Here is a 9,527-nt window from a genome sequence, read left to right on the forward strand (position 1 = left end):
GGAAGTGAGCTCAAGAGGAACTAGCTCAGGCCTCTGCAAACTTTGAGGGGTGGGCCTGTCTCTGGGGTCTTCTGCTTGTCTTACCTTTTCTTTTTCTTTTTTTTTTTTTTCTTGAGACAGAGTCTCGCTCTGTTGCCAGGCTGGAGTGTAGTGGCGCGATCTCGGCTCACTGCAACCTCCGCCTCCCAGGTTCAAGCAATTATCCTGCCTCAGCCTAATAAGTAGCTGGGACTACAGGCACCCGCCACCATGCCCAGCTAATTTTTGTATTTTTTAGTAGAGACAGGTTTCACCATGTTGGCCAGGATGGTCTTGATCTCTTGACCTCACGATCCGCCTGCCTCAGCCTCCCAAAGTGCTGGGATTACAGGTGTGAGCCACTGCACCCGGCCCAATTTTTTATTTTTAGTTGAGACGGGGTTTCGCCATGTTGGCCAGGCTGGTCTCGAACTCCTGACCTCAGGTGATCCATCCACCTCAGCCTCCCAAAGTGCTGGGATTACAGGCGTGAGCCGCCGCACCTGGCCTGTCATACCTTTTCTAAGATCATGTTCCTTCTCACTCTCTAAGCACTTGAGATCTTCATACTTCATTGACATCCTTGGCCCAAGTGGTCTCTGTGGCTGCAGGAGCTGAGATGGAGGCAGAGAAAGGGCTCCGAGGGGGAGCCTGAAATAAGGGCTGGAGGTGGGTGTGGAGCTGGTTTTGAGGTAGGAAGTGAGGATTCGATAGTGGCTGAGCCAGGCGTGAGAACTAGGAATGTGGCTGGGGGCTGGGTTTGCAGGTGAGGTTGAAACAGCGATCACAATTGGGGTTGTATCTGGGGTTAGGATGGGGTTGACTTACTTGGGGCTAAAAATCAGATTGGGTCTCAGGCTAAGATTGTAGACAGGGCTCCTTTGGAGTTGGGTCTGAGTTTGGGGCTGAGATTGGAAACATGTGGGATGGAGCATGGGGGTGTAGTACAGCTAGGCTGGAGCTGCAGTGGGGACAGAGATTGAATTTAGGGATGAATTTAGAGCCGACATTGGGACTGCAGTTGGGGCTGGAACTGGGATTGTATTGGTTTGGGGCTGTCCAACCCAATCTGGAAGTCAGTGGAGAGATCATTTCAATCTCCTCCAATAACTAGTTCAATCTGTGATCCATCTTCCCAGTTATTTCCACCTATAACACAAAGTCGCCCTCTCCATATTTTCCCTAATGCCCTCCCTGCCTCCGCCGTCCAGTTACCTGTACAAAACTAGAGAATGTAATTGTTTGCTTTCTTAGGTAGCAGAATTACCAGGTCAGGAAATTCTAGAGGGAACTGACTTGTATTGGTTCTCCTGCTCCCCTCTACATTCTGTGGCCCTGGTAGAACTGTGATCTCACGCTCCTGCTGGGTGGCTTCTCTCCCATGATCCAAAATCTTTCAGACCCAGGGGAGAGAGGCACAGAGCTGCTTGGGTGGATGATCTGGGTGGATGTTCTTTACTTTTGTGCCTTCAGGCTTCAGAGTGGTGATGTCTCTGCTATTCTTAGCCACAGGGACTTCACCAACTTTTGTTGGCTTCCTCAACCCTGCTCACACTCTGTAAATGTCATTAAACTCTTTTCAATAAACCCTTTTGTGGCCAAGCACTGCAGCTCATACCTGTAATCCTAGCAGTTTGGGAGGCCAAGGCAGGACAATCGCTTGAGCCCAGGAGTTTGAAACCACCCTGGGCAACATAGTGAGACCCTATCTCTACAAAAAATAAACTTAGCCAGGCATGGGGGCACACATCTATAGTCTCAGCTACTCAGGAGGCTGAGAAGAGAGGATTGCTTGAGTCCAGGAGTTCAAGGCTGCAGTGAGCTATGATCGCACCACTGCATTCTAGCCTGGGTGACAGAACAAGAACCTGTCTCTCTATATATATATGTAGAGAGAGAGAAAGAGAAATAAATCCTTTGGTTTTGACACCTGTATCTTGCTGGAACTGATTAAAAAAAAACCCTTTGAATAAAATTATAAATGTTTACTATGGTACACAGAAAAATAAAAAAGAATAAACTCCATTTGGAAGTCTAACAGGCTCCTCAAACTCAACATGTTCAAAATAAAGCTTCTTATCTCCTCATCCCACCCACAAAACCAGCTTCTCACACGGTCTTCCCATCTTAATTAACTGGGACTCCATCCTTCTAGGTTTTCAAGCCCCAAACCTGGAATTATCCTTGACTTTCTCATTTTCCCAAACCCCTCAGACAACCCATCAGCAAATCCTGACAGCTAATTCAGACATTCCTATATGCCAGGGAGCTTTCTGGGTACAGTAATACAGCAATGAATGGGTCCTGCCATCCCTTAATGAACTTAAAAAGTTGGTTCTTAATAGCTGAAATGCAGCTGGGTGTGGTGGCTCATGCCTGTAATCCCAGCACTTTGGGAGGCCGAGGCGGGCTGATCACCTGAGGTCGGGAGTTGGAGACCAGCCTGACCAACCTGGAGAAACCCCATCTCTACTTAAAACACAAAAGTAGCCAGACATGGTGGCAGGCTCCTGTAATCCCAGCTACTCGGAAGGCTGAGGCAGGAGAATCACTTGAACCTGGGAGGCGGAGGTTGCAGTGAGCTGAGATGACGCCATTGCACTCCAGCCTGGGCAACAAGAAGGAAATTCCCGTCTCAAAAAAAAAAAAAAAAAAAAAAATCAAAATAGCTGAGATGCTTCCCTGGTATATGCTGGATTGATTGAAAAAACAGAAATCTCCACCCCTCTCTATATCCATTCTCTACACAGTATGACTTTGTAGACCCCCCCCCAACCCCCCACCAAAATGTGGAATCTATTTCTCTGGCCCTTGAACCTGGGCAGCCTTGCAATCTGCTTTGGCCAATAGGATGCAGCAAAAACGATGCTTCAGTTCCAAGCAAGGCTCTGAAGTCCTTGCAGTCTTCCAATTTCTCTCTTGGACCCCCACCCAGCCATTCTGTGAACAAGGCCAGGCTAAGCTAATGTGGCCCAGTCATCCCCATTGTCCCAGCCCAGAGCCAGCCAAATATGAGACATGGGAGCAAGGCTACCCTAGACCAGCCAACCCCAAGCCAACCCACCAGCTGACCACGGACGCATAAACAAGCCCAGCCAAGATGACCCAAACCTGGCCAGACCAGACCTATAGCCTCATGAGCTATAATAAATGCTTACTGTATAAGCCCTGAGCTTTGAGGTGGTTTGTTACACACCAATTGCTAACCAATACACCTGGGGATCTTATCTACATCTCCCAACAACTCTGGGATCTTCAGAGAAATTAAACAATGGCTTTTCCTAATCACCCTAAGTTTATACCATCTTTAAGTGACAGAAAAGATTTGAACTCAAATCTATATGAGAAGAAAATGCTATTTTCTCAATCACATAGGACTTTCGAAGGCTTCACCTGGCTTCTCCACTCTGCCATTTTTAGATTGCCAAAAATCAAGCAACACAAAGTACGTAAGTTCTCACGAGAGTATATATTCACTTATATGAAGTATATACACGAGAGTGTATGATTTCACTTATATGAAGTTCTAGAAGCTCTAGAAGAGGCAAGGCCAATAAATAGTGAAAAAGAAGTAGATCACTGGCCTGGAAACAGGGAAGTGGTTGGACTGCCCAGAGGCATGAGGGGACTGGTGGGGGCGATGGCAATGTTATCTATTGCGATCGGAGTGGTAGTCACCTAGGCATGCATATTTGTCAAAGTCATCTCTACTCTTTAAATGAGTGCATTTTTATTATGTAAAAATTATACCTTCATGAAGTTGACTTTCAAAAGTTGGAAAAAAAATAAAAGCTTAAGAACACTATACCATCTTTTTAAAATTAAAGAGAAAAAAATTCAAAATGTTAGCAGTGCTTCCAATCTCCCAGTGCTTATTTCTCTCCCAGAGCGGTCTTGCGAGGAGGTCGTGAGAAGAGTCCTCCTCCCACCGCCATTTCTGTGGCCGGGTGGTCCCACCAAAGGCAGCTCAGTGACTCTCCTGGCTGGTCTGACCCAGGCCAGCCTCGCAGACCCAGTGGTAGGGCCTCTGGCAGACGTCGTCATTCCACCTGCCGTCTGGATGGAAGTGAGCACAGTCCTCGCCTCCACCCAGCCCGTGCCCCTGCCAGTCGTCTGGCTGGCCTGGCTTCCAGTTCCTGAGAGGAAAAGACAACAGCAAGCTAGGAAGGGTAGATGGAGTAGAATTCAGTTCAGGGGAGGAGAGGCTGCCAGTCAGATCCCTGGGGGAAACGCTGACGGAGGACATTGGCACAGAAAGCCAGGGTGCACTCACTGGAAGCCGGTCGCATAGTCTGTTCCATCCACCCACTTCCAGGCTCCTTCAGGGTCACTGAGGCCCATCCAGGTGTATGCGGAGCCTAGATATTTCTGGACAAAATTCTGCGGTGACAGAAGGGCAGTGGTGACTTCTTCCCATCCCAGCCAACTCCTTAAACTAGTGATTCTCAACTTTAGCTCTTCGTTAAATCAACTGAGGAGTTTGGAGATGTTTCTCTGGATGCTCAGGCCTATTAAATCTCTGAGGGTGTGGCACAGATGACAGTCATTCTGGAAGCTCCCAGATGATTCCAATGTGCGGCCAAGCTTAAGAACCATTTCCCTAAATGGGACATGTCTTAGGAACTGAGTACCAGAAGCCCTCACCTGCTCCTCCCTGGAGTTGATGACCACCAGGTGGGCGTTCTTCAGCTGGCAGTACTTCTCAGCCTCGGCCCAGGACATCCCAGAGTGAGAGAACCAGTAGCAGCTGTCTTGGTGCTCCACCCAGTTGACAGGGCAGCAGGTCCCTTCAGTGGAGGCTGATTGGGGAGAAATAGGATAGGGTGGAGAGGCTGAGGCTCTGCCCAGTGGGCCATGGGCAGAAAAGTAGGGCCAGGTACTCCCCATACCTTCCTCACCATTGTTGTTGAGAGTAGCCACCTGGCAGGTCAGTTTCTTCAGGTCTTGCACCAGCTGCTGGACTCGCAGGAGCATTTCAGAATGAACTGGGACACACACAGATGGGCAGTGGGGACAGTGGCCTAGGTGTGCCTTCTGCGTAGTGTGTTCCTGGAGCTCAGATACCCCTGCACAGGGCCAAGCCAGGGAATGTTCCTTCCCGCCCCCACCCACCCCCTACATCATGGCCAGGTACAGCCATCAAATCTGCTTTGGATTCCTCTGCCCCTGTTTCTCCAGCCTGCTCTCCAGAGAAAGCATGCTGCCTTTCTTTCTTTCTTTCTTTTTTTTTTTTTTTTTTTTGAGACGGAGTTTCACTCTTGCTGCCCAGGCTGGAGTGCAATGGCGCGATCTCGGCTCACGGCTACCTCCGCCTCCCGTGTTCAAGCAATTCTCCTGCCTCAGCCTCCCTAGTAGCTGAGATTACAGGCGCCCACCACCACACCCAGCTATTTTTTGTATTTTTTTTAGTAGAGACGGGGTTTCACCATGTCGATCAGGCTGCTCTCGAACTCCTGACCTCGTGATCCACCCGCCTCGGCCTCCCAAACTGCTGGGATTACAGGCGTGAACCACTGCGCCCGGCCTGCATGCTGCCTTTCAAGCTGCTGGCTGAAGGGGAGGGCAGTTCAGCACCAGGAGTCTGTTCCCACCTCCACTGTGTCTGAGCGCCTAGCCCCCCACACCCATACTCGGAGGGTCTCTCACCTGCCTGCCGTTCCTGCTTGAAACCCTCCACCTCAGCTTTCAGAGATGCTATCGTTTCTTCCAAGCTGCTGCCTGGAGGACACGGAGACTTGGCTTAGGGGTCAACTTCCTCCTCCCTGGCCTGGCCCCAGCCCAGAGCCCCATCCAAACCAGACTCACCCTGGGAAGTCAGTGCCTGGATCTCCGCCACAGTGTTTGAGGTGAAGTTGCTAAAATCTGTTCTCAGGGTCACCAGGTCCCTCTGAAATTTGGAATCTAAACAGGTGGATGGGAAGGTCAGTGCTGGGATTCATCAGGTCCTCTGTACCAGCACCGAGCAGGGCCCTCCATAAGCATTGCCTTATTGGGTCCTCACGGCAACCCAGTGGGGCAGGCACTATTATTGTTCAATATTGCCGATGAGGAAACTAAGCCTCAGAGAGGTGAAGTAATTTGAGTACATAACCCAACTACTCAGTGACAAAGCCAGCAGCCATCCTGACTATGGGTCCGTCAACTCTCTCCATCACTACCCCCACCACCGTCCCCATCAATCACTCCATCAGTGCCCCCCCACCATTCCCATCAATCACTCCATCAGTGCCCCCATCACCATTCCCATCAATCACTCCATCAGTGCTCCGACCACTGTTCTCATCAATCACTCCATCAGTGCCCCCCACTATTCCCATCAGTCACCCCATCAGTGCTCCCATCACCATTCCCATCGATCACTGCATCAGTGCCCCCCACCATTCCCAACAATCACTCCATCAGTGACCCCCACCACCATTCCCATCAATCACCCCATCAGTGACCCCCCACCGTTCCTATCAATCACTCCATCAGTGCCCCCCCACCATTCCCATCAATGACTCCATCAGTGACCCCCAACCATTCCCATCAATCACTCCATCAATGCCCCCCACCATTCCCATAAATCACTCCGTCTGTGCCCCCACCACCGTCCCCATCAATCACTCCATCAGTGCCCCCCTACCGTTACCATCAATCACTCCATCAGTGCCCTCTCCTCCATTCCCATCAATCACTCCATCAGTGCCCCATCAGTGCTTCAGTGGCTCTGTTGTGACCCCCATGACTGTTGGTAGCACTGCCCTCACCATGCCCCATTGTTATCTCCACAGCTGCCCCCAACACTGTGCCCTGCATTGCTCCTACTGTGGACCTCACCATCGCCCCACCACTGCCCTACTGTAGCACCCCATTATTTATCTTCTACCCCATTATTTCTCTCTTCCCTGTCCACCCCTGTGACCCTCACTTTGGAATCCAACCACACAGATGATGACCAGCAGCAGGAGGCCGAGGCCCAGGGACAGCAGGAGATGGCAGGGCCCAGAGCAGAGACGCTGCAGGAGGGACTGGAGAGGAAGTGGCCCTGCAAGAGGAGAGAGTGTCAGGATGAGGAGGGTCCAGACACCGGAGACGGGAGAAGGAGAGGGCCCAGGGAGCTGTCTAGTGAGGAGGGCTGGGCACAGGGGACTCCAGGGGAGGGTTGGACAAGGAGGATTTTGGGGTGGGGGATGCCCAGGCCTTTGACTTCAGGGACCAGCACAAGTCCTCAGTCACACAGGCCCCTCACACCCCTGGGGACCCACGTGATAGCGATATGAGGGGTCCCATGGTCAGAGCTGGGGGCAGGGGCAGGAGGACACAGGGAGAGCTGGGGGCAGCCAGCCCTTCATGGGCTTATGCTCACCTACCTGCTGGACAATCAGGTTCACAAATGAGTTTCCTTCCAAACCCAACTACTTATCTTTCCCTCCACCAATGCGCAGCTCTCATCCCCACCCCACAGAGCATCAGAAGCTGGGTCCACTGTGATCCTCCCTGTCCCAGTCTTTCTAGAGACCTTGCATCCTCTTCACACTAGGCCCGTCAGAGGCTGGGGCCTGACCTCCTCAGAGTTAGGACCCACCAGTGCGCGTGGTGGAGGTACAGAAATGATAGGAGAAATCCTTCTAAACATATAAAGAGGGCATTTTAGGAGAGTTTCCCCTTTCCTCTTACCATTTTTAAACCCCTGGACTTTCACCTTATTCTCCAAGTACTGGAAGTTTTCATACGTCCTTGTCATGCTTGGGCCAACACGGCTCTGAGGTTGTCACAGCTGAAATGGAGGCAGGGCCGGCGCCCAGTCTGGGGTGGAGCTGGGGAATAGGAGGTTGGGACTAAGTTGGAGCCAAGGGCAGGGCTGACGTTGAGTTGGGAGATGAGGCTCAGGTTGAGAATGAGCCCAGGGTTAAGACGGAAATGAGCCTGGGTTTGCAGTCGAGTTAGAATTGGGGTCGAGTTGAGTTTGGGAGTGAAACTGGAGGGTAACGTTGGAGCTAAACGCATTGCTAGGACTACCCAGTGGGCCAGTTAATCAGGCAGGACTGGAGGTTGTATCTCATGCTAGGATTGGGGTCAGTATGCACGTTGGAGCCATGGATGGAATTGGGGTTAACTTTGGTGGTGAATTTGGAAACAGAATAGAGTCGAGGTTCAATTTTGGCTTTGGGCTGGTGTTAAAATTCAAGTTGATTCTGGGGTTGGGGTTGAAGTAGGAGCTGGGTGGGGGGCGACAGGTGCGGTGGCTCACGCCTATAAATCCCAGCACTTTGGGAGACCGAAGCAGACAGATCACTTTAGGTCAGGAGTTTGAGACCGGCCTGGCCAACATGGTGAAACCCCATCTCTACTAAAAATACAAAAATTAGCTGGGTGTGGTGGTGTGCGCCTGTAATCCCAGCTACTTGGGAGGCTGAGGCAGGAGAATCACTTGAACCCAGGAGGCAGAGGTGGCAGTGAGCCGAGGTTGTGCCGTTGCACTCCAGCCTGGACGACACAGTGAGACTCAGTCTCAAAAAAAAAGAAAATGTAGAAGCTGGGGTTAGTATTGGGATTAGGGCATGGCTGGGCTGAGATGAAGATAAGGCTGGAAATGGGCCACCAATGAGGCTGAGTCTGAGTCTTAGTTTATTTTTATTTTTATTTATTTATTTTTTGAGATGGAATTTCGTTCTTGTCGCCCAGGCTGTTGTGCAACGAGGCCGTCTCGGCTCACTGCAACCTCTGCCTCCTGGGTTCACAAGATTCTCCTGCCTCAGCTCCCGGAGTCTTAGTTTATGACAGGGGATTGTGGCTGCCGTAACCCAATCTAGAATCCAGTGAAGGGAACAGAGTCTCAAATCTCCACGTAGTAATTAAACCCCACACTGCCGCCTTATATTTATTTTCATTTAGTCCCACCCAAGACCCAAAGTCCCCCTCTCCCTGCTTCCTCTGACATCCCCTGTCCCCTGGGTCTCACCGGCACCGGCAGCACCATTACCTGTGGGAGGTCTGGAGGGTGTGATTCCCACGTTGGTTGTGCTGCAAGGACCAGAGGTGGGACGTCACTCAGAGTTGGGAGCGCTGTGTCCTGGAGAGCTGGGGTAGAGGTGACTGGAGTCCTGCTGGTCTTGGGTCTGAAATCCCAGGAGCCCTATCATCTGGGACATCCCATCTCCTCAACTTTAGACAGTAAATGAGAATGAACAGGGATTAGAACACACAGAGACCATGTGTGGGTGGGGAGAGTTGGGTTTGAGGCCAGCTCTGTTCTCCTCCTCCAGGCCATGCCTACTTCCTTTCCTCTTCTCGGAGCTTCCTCATTTTTACCATCTGGGAGCAGGGCTGGATCAGAGGTACAATCTGCTGTTGCTCCTCTACCCTACACTTCCTTTCACTTCCTGCCTCTACATTTCCCAGAATTGTTGGGTCTCCATCATCGCACCTCTGATCCTAGAGAAGCCCAGTCTGTTCTCTTGCTCAATCCTGGCCTGAGTCCCTGGCATCAGCATCCTCTGGGTCCCAGTCATTCGGCTGCTCAGCTG

At 51.2% G+C, this 9,527-nt stretch overlaps 1 protein-coding gene across 5 annotated transcripts; it reads right to left on the minus strand.

Moving 5' to 3' along the window:
• CLEC10A (C-type lectin domain containing 10A) lies at positions 3,469–9,183 on the minus strand. 5 transcript variants are annotated; one of them, NM_001330070.2, is made up of 9 exons: positions 8,984–9,183; positions 7,678–7,817; positions 6,929–7,045; positions 5,824–5,919; positions 5,665–5,736; positions 4,917–5,003; positions 4,663–4,817; positions 4,292–4,398; positions 3,469–4,154 (listed from the first exon to the last, which is right to left on the minus strand). In NM_001330070.2, exons 2-9 carry the CDS (start codon positions 7,742–7,744, stop codon positions 3,986–3,988), a joined length of 870 nt encoding a protein of 289 aa, NP_001316999.1. In that variant the 5' UTR covers positions 7,745–7,817; positions 8,984–9,183; the 3' UTR covers positions 3,469–3,985. The 5 variants fall into 5 exon arrangements, with proteins under 5 accessions (NP_001316999.1, NP_006335.2, NP_878910.1 ...); NM_006344.4 differs by having other exon boundaries at positions 4,908–5,003; NM_182906.4 differs by having other exon boundaries at positions 4,917–5,084.

The sequence above is a fragment of the Homo sapiens genome, chromosome 17 (genome assembly GCF_000001405.40).
Source record: "Homo sapiens chromosome 17, GRCh38.p14 Primary Assembly".
Taxonomy (NCBI): domain Eukaryota; kingdom Metazoa; phylum Chordata; class Mammalia; order Primates; family Hominidae; genus Homo; species Homo sapiens.